The sequence below is a fragment of the Homo sapiens genome, chromosome 7 (assembly GCF_000001405.40).
Source record: "Homo sapiens chromosome 7, GRCh38.p14 Primary Assembly".
NCBI classification, from domain to species: Eukaryota; Metazoa; Chordata; class Mammalia; order Primates; family Hominidae; genus Homo; species Homo sapiens.
In genome coordinates, this window is record NC_000007.14 from 95,516,129 (window position 1) to 95,532,844 (window position 16,716).

At 37.8% G+C, this 16,716-nt stretch overlaps 1 protein-coding gene across 4 annotated transcripts in view, besides 1 other annotated feature; it reads left to right on the top strand.

Moving 5' to 3' along the window:
- ASB4 (ankyrin repeat and SOCS box containing 4) overlaps window positions 1-16,716 on the top strand; it is an 80,662-nt gene that overhangs the window by 45,473 nt on the left and 18,473 nt on the right. For 3 of the 4 annotated variants that reach the window (XM_047420471.1, XM_017012303.2, NM_016116.3), the window contains exon 3: window positions 11,685-12,175. In XM_047420471.1, the coding sequence (XP_047276427.1) occupies window positions 11,685-12,175 (491 nt within the window). Of the gene's footprint in view, window positions 1-11,684; window positions 12,674-16,716 lie in introns of those variants that run through there. The other variant, NM_145872.3, reaches the window with a different exon arrangement.
- Window positions 11,379-11,880: an enhancer, noted in NCBI's record as "H3K4me1 hESC enhancer chr7:95156819-95157320 (GRCh37/hg19 assembly coordinates)". NCBI's record gives its function as "activates a minimal SCP1, AML or CMV promoter by ChIP-STARR-seq in naive and primed H9 embryonic stem cells {active_cell/tissue: H9 hESC(naive and primed)}" and the evidence as "EXISTENCE:reporter gene assay evidence [ECO:0000049][PMID:30033119]".

Genomic DNA, 16,716 nt, shown 5'->3' on the forward strand with positions numbered 1-16,716 from the left:
AAATCAGTCTTCCTCAGGGTTAACCTCTTTTTCAGTTGAATGATAATAGCAGCATTAATTTCCTTCAACGAAAACACCTTTCTGACCATAATATATGGTCTGATTTCATGAGCCCAACAGATTAGTGCAAAATAATACAGTAATGGTACATATTCCAAAGTCTGAGTTATTCAGTCTTATCTATGGTTACTTTGCAAAATTTTAATCAATGGTTTTTTGGAATTAAAAAGATAAAAAATAAAATAAATACAGGGTGACTGAGCTCAGTGTCTGCATCTTGGTTATTCTCCAATAGCATGTCTAGAAAGATATCCTTTCTTTAAGGTTGAGTAAGTTAAAAATAAACAAAATGATAAATAAACATGGGTTCAATGAAAAAAATGTGTCTCCCAAAGGATGAGAAGCAATATTCTGTGGAGTTGGCAGATAAGCTTTGATATGAAAAAGATTTGCTTCAGGAGACAGGGGAAATAGTTTGTGATATTTGCTTCCTGTTTTCAATATGGCTTAAAAAATACGAGTAGCTGTTAAAGAAGAAGAAACTTGTCATGAGAGCAGACCAAGTGTCAAAAAGTTTGGTTTAATAAGCATTTATAAAGCCGAGCTGTTTTCCTATTCCTTCACTGGTCTTTGTTCAGTCTTATTTGCTGGATCTGCTACTCTTTTCTGTGTTTAAATATTTGCATGTCCTAGGGCTCAGTCTAAGAGGCCCTTTTCTCCATCTGAACTCAAACCTGTGTGATCCCATCTGCTTCTGTGACTTCAAATGTCATCAAATGGTGTTCACTTTCAGCTTGGTATCTCTAGCTTGAGCCTCTGCTCTGAACTCCAGACTCATCTATCCAACTATATATAATCTGTCTCCACTGGATGTTTAGTTATCCTCTCAAGCTTTCCATGTCCAGAAAGAAAGTGTTTCCTATCCCTGTGTTAATGATCATTTGCATGGTTTGTTCTTGTAGAAATGTCTGTTTATATACTTTATCCATTTTTAAATTGGGTTATTTGGCTTTTTCTATTGAGTTGTAATAGTTCTATTTTTTTTGTTGTTATTGTTGGAGACAGGTTCTCACTCTGTTGCCCAGGCTGAGGTGCAGTGGAGCCATCATAGCTCACTGTAACCTCAAATTCCTGGGCTCAGGCAATCCTCCTGCCTCAGACTCCCCAAATGCTGGGACTACAGACGTTAGCCACCATGCCAGGTCTAGTTTTAATAGTTCTTTATGTATTCTAGACACGAGTCTTTTATCATATATATGATGATAGAATTTGGGGACCTGTCTGTTCACAGATAAAGAGAAAATAGTAGTTTTGATTTCTCCAGGAAGTTATGTATAATAGGAAGTGCAAGGAGCAAATGATGATGCCCAAAGTGAGGCAAAAATTTAGGGAGTGAGAAGAAAGGAAATCACAGAAAAATCATCACAGACTTTGTTTTCAGAGAGGGAGAAGAAAGCACACCCAAGGAAACTGAAAAAAAAAAAGAATTTCAAGAAATGAGTCATCAATACCATTAGATATAGTAGAGAGGTGTGGTAACTGGAAGGTTGAAAAATGTAGATAATCAATTACAGGCCACTAGTGATCTTCGTCTGAGCAGTTCCAGTGGAGTGTGGGGACAGAGGCAAGGTTTGATGGACTGAGGAGTGTATCGGTGGTGAGACAGTGGATGTGGAAAACAGAGACCACCCTTTCAAGGAGTTCAAACAAAAAGCAATAGAAAGAAATTGGAGGTTAGCTAAAAGGGAGAAAAGAGTTGCAAAAGCTTAAGTATGCTTAGAAAATGAGGGCAAAGAGTCCATGGGAATGGAGATGTTGGGTAAATAATAGAGATAAATTACTTGTGGAGCAATGTTCTACTGCTGGGTGTATGATCAATTGCAAAGAGGAAGGTGTTGGTCTTAAATTGGAGGAGAGACCCTACTTCCCCTAAAAGGATAGAGAGAAGGTAAAGATGCTGAATTAGTCAGCATTTCTGTTTGTTTTACCAAAACCCACAGAAACTCAATTCAGCAATGGTAGAAATAACTAGTTTTCACCAATATCTTGTTCTCTTCCACTCCAGGCTCATGGAAGACCACGCTTTCTAGTCCACTTGAAGTTCAGCAGGCATATGACTCTTCTAGCTAATGACATATGAACAAAAGAAATAAGAGTGGCTTCCAGGCTTAGACAATGAAAAGTCCATGAGGAATTTTTAAAGTCTTCTTCTCCCCATGATATTGTGATAGTGGGGCAAGCCTCAGGTAGAGATGGCGAAGCCATAAGACCAAGGCAGCTTGGAGCCCTGAGAAATCAAATGGAGGGCCTTGATTCTGAATTGCCCCTTGGAACTGCAGTGCACTATGTGACAGTGAGAAATAACCTTCTGTTGCTCTAAGCCACTGAAATATGAGTGTCTTTACAACAGCATAATTAAGTTTATTCTGACTAAATCCTAACCTAAGGAAAAAAATTAGACTATATTGGCACTCAAGAAAGAGTTGAATGACCTAGATACCTAGATAAGGGTAAGATAGAGATTAAACTGGGTAACTGGAACCACTAACTCAAACTGAGTCCAACAAGATGATGTACAAATCTTTAACAGGGATTCCACTGCAGGAACGACCAATGAGATTTTTTATCATTGCCACACAATTTGACCCAGAAGGTTTAGAATTGTAAGTGCAAGTGTGTTGGATGGGCCATCCACAAAGGTTTTGCAGGGTGACTTCAGGACAGAGATAAAAGGAAGACTTGAGCCAGACACCTGTGCCTTCAGGGAAAATGGGAGAGTCACTGGGAGTTAGTAAGATTATAGATAAGAAGAAATAAAGAGTAATTTCACGGGATGACATAAATCTTAAAGAATGAGGTGCACAGGTGAGGAATTAATGGTTCTTGTTGCTCTAGAAGAAGGTAGTTCTCAACCCCAGACTCTAGAGAATGTGAGTGTTAGATAAATGAGAACTGAAAGGAAATGGTACTTCATTTAAGATTTCATTTGAGACAAGACTATGGAAGACACAAGAGAATATATTTGCCATAGAATGTAGACTGAAAGGGCAAAATTGAAACTAGAAAAAAGCAACCAACTGAAAATATGCTTTGGCGACAGTTCATGACATACTCGACACTGTACAAAATTGCATCCTTGACAAAGAAGCAGACTTGAGAAATAATTCCAGAACATGCAGAAAATGAAAAGCCCTGAATAGAATAAAAGGGATCTAACCTTTGAATAATAGATGTTTCTAAATAATTCGTGCTGTGAGAAGTAAGCGAGACAATATATGTAAAACTCTTAGTGAGTGCTCAAAAAAGAGCAGACACAATTAATATTTTCATAAAAGAATGCATGACAAATGTGCTGTTCTTTATCTGCACAGAAGCCTATACCAGCCCAGCAGTGTTTTGTACTGAGGCAGGTGCAGGTCAAGGTGATGAGAGCAAGTGTAAACCAACATGGATCAAACATCTCAGATAAAATAAACAACTAATGAGGATTCTGGACTTCTACCTGAAGTTATAGTAAATGGAACCGAATTCCTTCTCAAATCCTTACGAATAAACCATGATAATATTTTCTCCATGGTCTTTCTGACCTGTCTTAATACCTTTTCTAAGAAAAGTGTAATTTTTTAAGGTGATGTTAAAAAGGCAGCCATTAGTGATTTACTATGTTTTAAGTCATGCATTTGAGGACTGGAGTTAAAAATTTTGAGAGGGGATTTTTTTTTTCATTGACTTTAACTCACTTGATAATTGGTGGGTGGTGAATATTTTAAGCAAAAATGGTTTTATAGTTTTTAATACATAAAGAGATGTTTTCTTTTTGAATATGAACAATGTTTCAAAACAGAGTAGAATAAAAAAAATCTTCATCTAAAAAACATGCCTTGTTTGGAGATGAAATGGGTAGGTTCAGTTTGGTAAAATTAACAAAAACATCTAAGCCCAGAAAAACCTTTAATAAAATATTAAATTTCAGTGCTGGGGCATTATATTCAATGATATGCTATATCCCTGAGTCAAGGAATAATTTGAATTCTGAATTTTGAAAGTGTCCCCCCAACAGGGGCACATGTGCCTCTGACACGGTGGTGGGTACTGCACTGCAGAATCTTTAAGGAAGTTACGGACAAAGGGAGCAGAAACAAAATATACCATTAACAGCTGTTCAGCTGATCTCTCCAACTCTTCCAGCCAACTAAGAGACTGAACAAAGTGAAAACAATTAACACTCTGTCTACAAACTCAGGTTTATTGGAAAGTATACAAACAAGCTCAACTGGTGGAAGAATAAAAAAATAATGCTCTGTTGTTTCAGATCTCATAGAAGGCTTGGCTAAAAATGTGCCCATCAAAAGTAAATAAGTTGAGAGGGTATTCTGGAACCATAGTGACTGAATACAGAGTATTGCCCATTCTTTTCCAATCCCTACTTCTACACCTTTATCTTAGAAGCTTATTATTTAGCTTTTCATTTGCTTTTAATTTATCTGAAATTAAACACACACTCCCACTCCCCACCCCCCATCCCCATCCACACACACTAGAGATGAAATCTGTGCTTTTACAACATTGTTAGTCTTTGGTTCCAATACCTTTATTAATAGTCCATTCTTTATCCACTGCCACACCTGTCATTACAGATGCTTTCTGTAGGTAGGTCTGTTTCTAGGCTTTACGTTCTATTTCATTGGTCCAGTTTTCTCTTTATGCATCAACACCACATTATTTTAATTAGTTTGCTTTGATATTTGGTGGGGTAAGTACCCCTTATTCACTGTCTTTTCTTTCCATCTTATTCTTTTTTAATTTTAAGAAAATTTCTTTCTCATTCTTTTTACTTCACTTTTCCAAAATTGATTTATTTTTGCTCTTTACTCTGCAAATTTTGTGGGGAAAAATGTTTGAATTGCATTGAATTTATAGATTAATTCTGAAAGAATTGCCATCTTTACAATAATGAGTCTTTCTATTTATGAACATAGTAAAACTTTCCATTTATTGAGTCTTTTGCCTTCAATAAAAATTTTATCATTTCCTTCATAGTAGATCTTTATATATTCTGATTATGTTTTCAATACATAAAGAAATGTTTCCTTTTTGAATATGACCTTTATTATGAAAAATAAATAAGAAAAGCCCAACCCAATGAAAAATGGGCAGAAGCTATGAAGAGACAATTCTTACAAGTGAGATTCTGTGGCCTGTAAACATATGAGAATACACTTTACTGGTAATCAGGAGAATGCAAATTAAATCAAAATACCATTTAATTGGCAAACACTAAGAAGTTTGAGAGTATCAAATGTTGGAAATGATTTTGAACCTTTAAACTCTACTGATGGACATATACATTGATATATACACTGATGAATATAATTTAATATGGTTGAAAATGTTCATACATTACTTCCCAGTAATTCTATTTCTTCCTCTCAAGTAACTACTGCACAGTTTGAAAGATATTTACTATTGGGAAAAAGCTAAAACAACTTTACCATCCTTCATAAAGGAATAGCTAAACTGTGGTTTATACAAGGTAATTCTGTTCAGCAGTTGAAATTAAAAAAAAAAAAACAGTTCTCTATTCAAAGACATGTTGTGATGGATAAAAACAGGTTGCAAAAGTGAGATACAATGTACGTAGTTTTTTAAAACACAAAATAATAGTATATTTTTTAAATGGATACACATATAAATAGTAAAAAGAACAAAAATTTACCAAGCAATGATAAGCATCAATTTTAGAACAGTAGTTACCTCTGTGGAGGAAAAAATTATGGGAGAAAGAAGAAAGAAAAGGGCTAGGGTTTTCTGTAAAACTCGTAGGACAGAAGAAAACTAAAGCAAATATGGTAATAATTAAATTCAGTCAAATATGGGTATGGTGTACAGGTGTCAATATTTTCTGGAATTTTCTCTATGTTTGACTATTTCATAATTCATTAAAGTCTTAGATTTGGTGCTGATGTAATAATAGATATTTAGATGCAGTAACACAACAGAGTTCTCTCTTTTATATATAAACACAAAATAATTTTGAGTTTTTAAATAACTATAGCATTTTAAATAACTACAGCTGCATTTCTAGAAATGCAGCTATGGTATAAATCAAGGAGAGGCTGAACTTTGATTTATTAGAACTTTACCAATAATTTTTTTTATTTTGGAATACCATTCATGATGGCAATGATGCTCGTGGTGTTTGAATTACAATATAAAACACCTCTATCAGTTCGAATATGTAGCTGTTCAAATTCTACACATGGGCTTAAGCAAATAATATTTCATTATATCATTTAGGATAATCTTTCCTAAATATTAACATATTGAATTTCACACTACATCACTGTAGTTTATTTATATTATTTGTAACCATCATAAATTTGCCTCTACATGTTAGGCAGGGCATTGTATTTATTTTTAAAAGATTATGTGTAGATGATACTCTCTATGGCTTACACTGCAGCATAGGAAGTGTCTGGAAGGGTTGGGAAGCACTTATCTGTGTTGGTCCTCCCGTTTAGTACCAGTCTCTTTCCACACAAAGGCTTTTCAAGAAATCAAGACCATCAGGACAGGAAGGGGTCTCCATCTTCTCTGCTGAAATTCTTATCTTATCTGTCCTGTTCATCCCATTCTCAGTGCACACAAACCAGTGTTTCTTTTGCCCACAGATGAAATCTGAAAATTCCCTCTTCTTTATCATGCAGAGAAAATTTAATTTTTTATCTCTCTCATTTACTATAATTCTAGACTAGTTCTGGAGACCCTCTTGCATAAATTAAAAGGTTCATGAAGGAACTTCTCCCATTAAAAGTCACTTTACCCCAGAAACAATGTACTCTGCCCACTTAGAATGAAAACTGCTACAAATTTTATAGGGTATAGTTTATAGAAATGTAAAGAAAACTTTTTAGAGAAACAGACTGTATGTCTGCATGGAAGGACTCCATACTGTAAGAATGTCAATTCTTCCTAAATTGATATGTACACCAAAATAAAATCCAGACGAATCAAATTTTAAACATTTTTTTAACATTTATAAAAACTAGATTATAATTAATCAAGATTGTTATGCAACTTCTGAAAGGAGTAGGACATTCTGGTACAAAGGAAAAGGCAAGGGAAAACTTGACAATCGAAAGTCAACATCACTGTGTTTAGGAAAAATCAAACTGGTTACAACGTTTATAGCAATTATGATAGCATAAGCTTATATCTTGATGAAGAGCTCATAAAAGTGCAAACAAAGCCGAACGATTTCACCTAATAAAGAGACAATGAACTAAATTTGGACAATTAACTAAAAAAGAAATACCATTAGTTAATAATTACAGAGAAAGTGTCTAAACTCTAATAATCAAATGAATTCGGATTTTAAAAAATAAGAATTTTTGCAAGAATTTCTCTTTAAGTGTGTAATATACTGCTTAGTGAGGTAATTAGTCTTATGCATCACAGAGAGAGATAAAAATATAACTTTTGGTAGTTATTAATAAAGACTCTTAACATAGTTCAAATGTTTCAGCTTAATAATTCTATTTTGGGGGAATTTATTCCAAGGAAATAATCCTAAAATTTACATACAAAATTATTAATTGTAGCATTAATTTTAAGATCAAAATTTTGGAAAAAATCAGCACAGTAGGGTAAACTTACTCTAAGGAGTATGTAGTTATTTTAAATTATGTTTAAAATGACTATATAATTACATGGAAATGCTTATAAGAGTAATATAAAAGCATTGTTGGTCAGTAAAAATATTAACGTGTCTAACTTCATTGGTAATTAGGGAAACCATTCAAATGCAATGAGATATCACTCTGCAACCAAGAAATTGGCTAAAATTAAATAGACGGAAAATACCAATGTTGATAAGGATGTAATACAATGAGAAACCCTCACCCATGGCTTATCGGAGTGTAAGCTGGTACAACTGCTTATTTGACAGTACTTAATGAAGTTGAAGATATGCATACCCAGTGACCCAGCAATTCCACTCATAGATGTAGAGCCCAGAGAAATCCCTGCACGTGAGCACCAGAGTACAAGAATGTGCAAGAATGCCCATGGCATCAGTGCTTGGGATAGCCTGACACGGGCAATGCCCATCTACAGTTGAATGGATAAATTGTGGATTACTCGTGCTAAAAGACAGACATAATAAAATGAACAAATGAGAACTAAACAGCACAAGACAGATTATTTTCACCAATACAATATTGAGTGAAAGAAGCAAGTCAAAAGAATTTGTGTTTATGATTCCATTTATTCAAAGTTCAAAAATTGGAAAATGGAAGGATTTTCTGGGGCTAAGAGTGTCTAATTTCTTGACCAAGGATGTGATTAGAAGGTGATGGCTTTACAATAATTAAAAAAAACTGTACATATATATTTTATATACTATGTAACGTATGTTATGTGTTATGGGTCGAATTGTGCGCCACCCCCCAAAACACACACACACAAAGATACGTTCAAGTTCCAACCTCCAATACCTCAGCACGTGAATTTATTTGGAAATAAGGTTGCTGCAGATGTAATTACTTAAGTTATGTTAAAATCATACTAGAGTAAGGTTGTTCCCTATTGCAGTATGACTGGTGTTCTTATAAGATGACCATGTGGAGACACAAATGAGACAGCCAAGTATAATCGGGTCCCCAGAGACCCTCTAACCAGCCTGTGCACTGGGAGAATGGGATGGAGCTATGGAAGTTCCTGCCGTTTGCAGTGGGGAGCAGCCTGGCCTCTCCTTTTCCTGGGTGGTAACCTGGGATCCAGTCTGTAAGATGGGGGCCTGTTAACAGGAACCCCTCTTACTTTGCTGAGAGTCTTTTTCCTTTTTGCCAAATAAATTCTGTAACCACTCACCCTTCAAAGTGTCTGCGTGCCTAAATTAACCTGGTCATGTGACAAGAACCCAGATTTTCCTGCAACACAGAGACACAGAGAAAATGCCATGTGAAGGTGAAGGCAGAGACTAGAGTGATAGGTCTACAAGCCAAGAACTTCCAGCCATCACCAGAAGGTAGGAGAGAGGTCTGAGGCAGATTCTCCTCCAAAGTCTCTGGAAGAAACCAACCCTAGACACTTTAATTTTGGACTTCCAGTCTCCAGAGGTGTGGGAGAATAAATTTCAGTTGTTTTAAGCTACCCAGTGTGTGGTATTTTGTTAGGGCAGCTCTTGGAAACTAATACATTGTATTTTCACATTAAAAATATATTTCAAAGTTCCCAGGAGTTGATGTTTCTGGTCTCTAATTTATTGAATAAATCACAAAATCTAAAATAAAAAAGTAGCCAAATAATTGTACTTTATATATTTCCTGGAAAAGTTACACTGGCGACACAATTCAAGTATAAAAATAAGGAACTCCTATTCAGAAAAGGAAACCATGTAGCATATCTAGTTGCACCAACAGGTCAAAGATCAATCGTAAATGTCCAAGTACATTAAAAAAGGATGTGGTTTGTTCCAAGTTGGCCTGTAAGAATTTCATCCTGACCCTTTGATTCTCTTCCTTACTGGAAATTCTCCAGCATCTGAAGTGACCCTGCACATGGCTTCTGGGAAGACATTCTCATTCGTTCCATTTCACTCCAGAGCAAAGACGAGCTGACCTGAAATAAGACCTGACCCAGAACTTCTCTAGGGCAGAATACTGATAAACACAGATGGCTTCATGAAAGACCATCTTTGGTTACAATTCTGCCTTCTACAAGTTAGGAATACAGTCTCAGAGTTTACAGAGCAATGTACTCTTGGGTACCTTCCTTGGGGACTGAGTTTGTATAGGATATTGAGCATGCTTGTAGGAGTTTTGGCTTTCTCAAATATGTTCCATATGATCAGGAGATGCCATAAATAAGGGCATAAAGGAACAATACATGGTAAACGGATTTTTTTTAAAGCTAACAAAATGCAATGTTATCTTTCTAGTACTTTCTGGTTTTCATATAGTAAAAGAGAGTAAACTACAGAAAAATTTTCCTTCAGAAAAGTAATATGAGGTGGAATAGAACAGTGATAAGGAATTTCGAAGCCAGTCTGTCTGTTTTCAAACCTTGGTTCAACAATGAGGAAGGGGTCCCCAGTGGGAGAGAGCCCCAGGTGGGGAAGAACAATGAACAGTTGTTCTGAGAAATGGGAAATCACAAGCAATGACTTCTTCCTGGCACAATGACCTTGTTCTGTGCGCACAATGACCTCCTTCAGCACAGCAGCTCCCCCCAGCACAACTCTATAAAACTTCGCTGCAGTTGCACCCTGCCTCTACACAGCCCCTTCTCTGCTGTGCTGCCGGTTGCAACTTTGCAACGCATTTTCATACATACTTTCTCTAATAAATCTGCCTTTCTTTACCTACAACTGTCTTGGTAAATTACTTTACCACCTGTGACACCGGCCCCAGCTAGTTGCACTCGTGACAACTAGCTGGTTGTACTTTTGGCCAATTATTAACCTCTCTGAGTACAAATTTCTTCATCCATAAAATTAGGATTAAAAACTGCACCCACTGCAAAGGATTACTTGGAAGGTTCAATGAGGCAATATATGAAAAGCATTTAGCCCAGAATGTTTCACATGGTTAAGTGCTTAATAAATACTAGTTACTAGCATAATAATAACAATAATAATAATAAGTCTGTACAGACTAATACTTGAAGTAGCTATAAAAAATTCCAGCAGCGCTGATATTAGAGTTGGCCCCCTAAGGGTCATTTGGTTCACCTCATTAAATTAGGCAGAGAAGGAAAATTTCAGCTTCTTGAGTTGACCACTCTCACATTTAACATTTCTAATTAGAAAAACAAAATTCACTTAAGTTTTCTAGTCTGTTAAATAAATGGGTTGGATTAAGTAATTCTAAGGAGCTTTCCAAGTACAAAAAATTCCTATTTCTAACATCCTTTGTCAACCATAAATAAAACATTTTGCAGTCTCTGAATCATTTTCTCTCTTTCAATGAATATTTCTACTATACCAGCTTCTGCCCCTTTTGATGAAAAATATAACCTTTAGGCTAGTTTGGTGACTAAAGTCGTGTGTGTGTGTGCATGTGTATGTGTGTGTGTGCATGCACAGGCATATGTGGTGGTGGTGGTGCTGCGTTCCAAGAAAGCCTCACAGACTTGGGCAGCCCTAATACTGCAATTTCAGTCAAAGGGATGGGAAGTTTCCATACCACTAAAGTTTACTTGCATCAAACTTTTAGGTTTATCTGCTATGAAAGAGAAGAAAAGTATTATTTTGTGGAATATTCTAAACAGTTGATTTTTAAAGAGTCAAGTGTTGTGACATAACATTTGTTTTTAATGATATTAGCAAATATCATTGTTATGTTGATTAAGAAGATTTAGTTGTAGAAATCTCTTGGTATTTCCAAATCCACCTGGGAGTAAGAAGTGAAATTCAGCAACGCTCCAGCATTCTGGCACAAATCCTTCCTTCTCCTCCCCTGGGTACCTTTGCTGGTTGTCCAGGAGATGGCACTGTTGCTTCAAGGGAATGGCTTCCACGAGGCCCAGGAAGAGAGCCTGGGGGCAAAGGGGTTGAGGGTTGGGGATAATATACGGCAGTCAGAAGTTAAAAGAGAAGCAGTGAGAAAAGTCTTGTTTAATGAACCTTAGGAATAATGACAAAACATGTTTAAATAATTGTCTTCCTCAATTTCCCTTTATAGGGGCGAATGTGAACATGAAGACCAACAACCAAGATGAGGAGACGCCCTTGCACACGGCTGCCCACTTCGGCCTTTCGGAGCTGGTGGCCTTCTACGTGGAACACGGGGCCATAGTGGACAGCGTGAATGCCCACATGGAGACCCCCCTGGCCATCGCCGCCTACTGGGCCCTCCGCTTTAAGGAGCAGGAGTACAGCACGGAGCACCACCTGGTCTGCCGCATGCTGCTTGACTACAAAGCCGAAGTCAATGCCCGAGATGACGACTTTAAATCTCCCCTCCACAAGGCAGCCTGGAACTGTGACCACGTGCTCATGCACATGATGCTGGAAGCTGGCGCCGAAGCCAATCTCATGGATATCAACGGCTGTGCTGCCATCCAGTACGTGCTGAAGGTCACCTCCGTGCGCCCTGCTGCCCAGCCTGAGATCTGCTACCAGCTCCTGTTGAACCATGGGGCTGCCCGAATATACCCTCCACAGTTCCATAAGGTGAGGCTCTGCCCAGTGGTCAGCAGGTTGAGGAAGATTCAAATGGCAGCCTTGTCTGAAATCTCCAAGTAACTCAAGCTTGCTTGAGGCTTGAGTCCTGGGCTAACTACCTCTGATCCTCTTTGACCTTCCATTACATACCTAATCCTAGCTGTCTCCTCATCTCATCCTAGTCTAGGTTTGCTTGAAATTGGGTGTGAGAGCTAGAATGAGAAAAAGAGTAGCAAATAATTTGTTTTGCCTTGTGTGAACACCAGTGCACTGGTGGCTTCCTGAGGGACTGAGGTAAGTCTGCCAGAAAGGTGAATAGTGTTAGACAGGCATACATTTGCCATCTTTTAAACAGAATGACTGATCTAAAGATGACTCAGCCTGCTTTGAAATTAGCTTGTAGCCATGAAAGGGCCACCCGATTTTCCAGTTTAATGAAAGCTAACGTTTATTAAGTACTAAAATTATATTTATTATGTATAATAAATAAGCACACTGTTATAAGCATTTTGTATGTCTTCATTTAATTCTTACAACAATCATACGAGGTATATATTATTATTGTCCCTATTTGACAGAGGAGGAAACTGAGGCACAGTTAAGTAGCTTACCTGAGCTCCCACAGTGCCAGTGCCAGGATTCAACCTTAGATACTTTGGTTCCAGCATCTACTCTTATGATATCACACTGCACGGTTTTTCTTAACAACATTCATAATCTCAAACAGGCTGGTAGGGACCAGTTGCTACCAGTATTGATATGACTAAGACATGGGACGTATCCTCAAGAAGCTTAGAATCTAGCAGATGAGACAAGCAAATAAAGGGGTAATTTTAATATGCTGTGGTAAATGACAAGGTAGAAGAATAATGAGTGCTACAGAAATATGGAAGAGAGTGAATTTTGCATAGTTTTATAGCTAGTAATTAATTTGGAGGCCAAAATGCATTTTACCTGAAAATAAATCAAATAATACTATACTTAGGTTTCCCCCTTGCTCTAAAAATTTAATTAACAACAAGAAGAGTTTGAAGTATACAACAACTGACTAATTAGGCCACAGAAAGCAAAGTAACAGATGTTTTTCTGAATTCACAGCTTAAGTTCTACGTCTTACCTGGGTAAAATGTCAGGGACTTGTCTGAAGTCCTGCAGTGTGAGGCTTAGTTAGAAGAAAAGTTCTACTAGAGAATTTAAGGGTAGTGCCTTCAGTCAGGGCAGATTCCAGATGGACAAACCAGAGAACTTTCAAATGAAGATTTGATGGGTTCAGCAATCCTGTGATCTCAATAGGAATTTTCTCTTGGTTATCAGGATGCTAATGGAAGATTAACTAATTCTTTTTTAAAAAATTATATGTAAAGCCCAGAATGTCATGAATTTTCCAAAAGTTTTTTAGGGAACTACAAATGATTAAGATGAGGAATAGAATAAGAATAATGTTACAGTAACTGTCCTGTGTTGAGCTCTAAATAGGTTTTATACAGACTATTTCATTTTATTTTTATAATGGACTCTGAGGTGGGCACTGGCATTACTCACATTTAAAAGGTGACTAAGCTAAAGCTAATAGTGTTAATATATTTTCATAAAGTCACACAGAGTAAGTGTCAAGTTCACTCATTTGTTTATTTAACAAATATTTACTTAACACCTCCGAAGTGTCAGGTACTGTTCTATTTGCTGGAGGTAGAGCAATGAACCAAAGGCCTTCATGAAAGATACTTTCTAGTGGGAGACAGGAAACAAACAAAACAACAACCAAATAAATATACTCTGATATGTTAGGTGCTATGGAGAAAAAGCAGGGCAAAAAAAAAAAAAAAGAGAATGCCAGATTATGTGTGCTACTTTAAGTTGATTAGAAAAAATAAGGATGTGGGGGGCTGGGTGCAGTGGCTCACCCCTGTAATCCTAGCACTTTGGGAGGCTGAGGCGGGCGGATTGCTTGAGTTCAGGAGTTCAAGGACAGACAGCCTGGGCAACACGGTGAAACCCTGTCTCTAATAAAATACAAAAAATTAGCTGGGTGTTGTGGCGTGCGCCTGTAGTCCCAGCTACTTGGGAGGCTGAGGCAGGAGAATGGCTTGAACCCGGGAGGCAGAGGTTGCAGTGAGCCGAGATTGTGCCACTGCACTTCACCCTGGGTGACAGAGCGAGACTCTGTCTCCAAAAGAAAAAATAAGGATGTGGAGGAACAAGCCATGCAAATACCTGATGGGGAGGTGGGGAGAGCATTCCAGGCCTAAGGAAAAGCAGGTGCAAGGGTCCTGAGGTAGGAGAGGGCTAAGCATGTTTGAGGGAGAGCAAGGAAGCCTCAGTGGCTGAAGTGGAGTGAGCAAGGGGAAGATAAATCCAAGAGGTATATATGTGGGTTGTTTGCAGACCATATATGTCGCCTTGTAAGCTGTGGGAATGTTCTTGGTGTTATACTCTGCATGGGAGAGGAAGTCACTGAAAGATTTTGAGTTGAGAAAAATAAAAGTCTGATTTATATTCTAAAATGGTCCTTTTGACTGCCTTTCAGAGAATAACTCTGAGTGGGGGGCTGGCAAATTTGCAATAATTTAGATGAGAGATGAGGGTAACTTAGATTCACAGTGGAATAGTGAAGGTGGTGAGAATCATGGACTTTGGGGTCAAACTTGGATTCTGTCACTTACTTAAGAGTGTGATTAAATAAACTGCTGAAAGTTTCTGGGCCTCAGTTTCTTCCCCTGTTGAATGAGTATACCCTGAATTTATGCCTTGGCAATGCGATGCAGACTCAGTCCTTCCCCAGAAGGAAGTTATTCCTACTCATAGCACATCACAAATATGCTCAAAGCTCAGAGGATGGTGCCAAACATTTCTTTCCTCTTTCTCTTGGACTTCTTTCAGTCACAGCAGAGTCTCTTTCCCAGTTCCTCCCTTCAGTCCTATCCTACATCTATACACATCTCTCTCTTTGTTTACTTCCATCTTTTTTTCTTACCTACATCTTGCTAAGGGCTGGTCATTCTTCATGACGTTAGCTCTAGAAGACAAAAACATCTACCTCTGTAATACAGCTCACTTCACAAAGCATAATTTTCTGCATATTGTCGTTCAAAGACTACTTTCCCTCCAGCGAAAAGGATGGACAGGGACACAGGGCATGAAGGTGCCAGAGAAACATACTCTATCACTTTATCCATGAATAGTAATAGCCTTCTTGTAAGGCTGTTTTGATAATTAAATGAGATAGCATTTGAGAAGTGGTTAGCACGGTGCCATGGGCATGGTAACCATTAAACAAATGATGGCTATGACTATTACTATTCTTAAACATGTGTTGAGCAGGAGAATTGGTGCTCCTGGGCCTGCTTTACTATAGCAGTCTTCCCATCCAGGAGAGACAGTATGTGTGTGAGTCCCTGCCCAGAGACTAAATGTTGACTTGTATTCTGAAACTTGCTGTGGAATCTAGTAGTGGCATTCAACCCTAGTGTTCACTTTTCTCCTCCTCTCAACATGTGCTCTTGGTCCAGCATAAGCATCTCCCCTGCTGGCTTTTCTTGGTAGCTCCACCAGCCTGTAAAGTAGGCATACAATTTTGTGTTCCAACCAACTTTGTCCATGGTTAGCATTTTCTTATTCAGTTGTTTTGCTCCTTTGAGTTCCTTTAGTTTGGCTGTATGCTAAAGACATTTAGGATAGAGTTGGCTACTGGTAGATGGCTGGTATTACAAACATTTTTGTTGCTACTCAACAGACTGTGTAGGAGAGCTGGCCCCCCTCCAAAGGAAAAGTAAAGAAAAACTATTCAATTTACTATGCAGATGCTTCAAAGTGATTTAGAACAACTACTCCACAGCCCGACTTTCCAAAGAGAAAGTCATCTTTACGACAAGTAAGTGACTGACTCATTTATCCAGAAGATAAAGTGATTCGTTCTTGTGTGGATGGGGAATTCAGTTTCCTTATTTACAAGGAACAAGGTCAGAGCTGAAGATGTTTTCTTCCAAATACAAAGCCAATTTGTAGAGGGTGTATTTCACTGAAAGCCAATGTGTAAATTACATAAGCGGGGGAAAAAAGAATTATAGGGTCTGCAATTGCTTTCCAGGGTACAAAAGGACATTTGATTTTTTTTTCTCCCAGCGTAATTCAGAAGAAAGTGACACCCCAGGGAGCCAAGATTGGGTTTTCTTGTAGGGCAAGAAAGACATTTTTCTAGAGGAGGAAAAGGTAACACGAGGGTCTGGGAGAGGTAAGGATGATTTCTGCCATTGAACAATGCTGTATATGAAGGTAGGCAGTTCTCTTTGATCATTAAGTACCTTTCTGAACACATATATATCAATATAAAAGAGTGGAAGTAGCTTGAGAATGTTTCTGCTGAAGTGGCTTACAGATGATGTTTGGATGAGAAGAGAGGCAGGAAGACTTACCTTGAATCTCTTTTTTAAGAGATTGTGTATTAATCCATGCTTTTGGGGGTTGGATGGTGAGATGAGGTGTCTAAATCTCTCTTCAGTAGTCACCACAGTAGAAATAACTTTTTTGTCTAATTGTTCCTCCATGAAGGG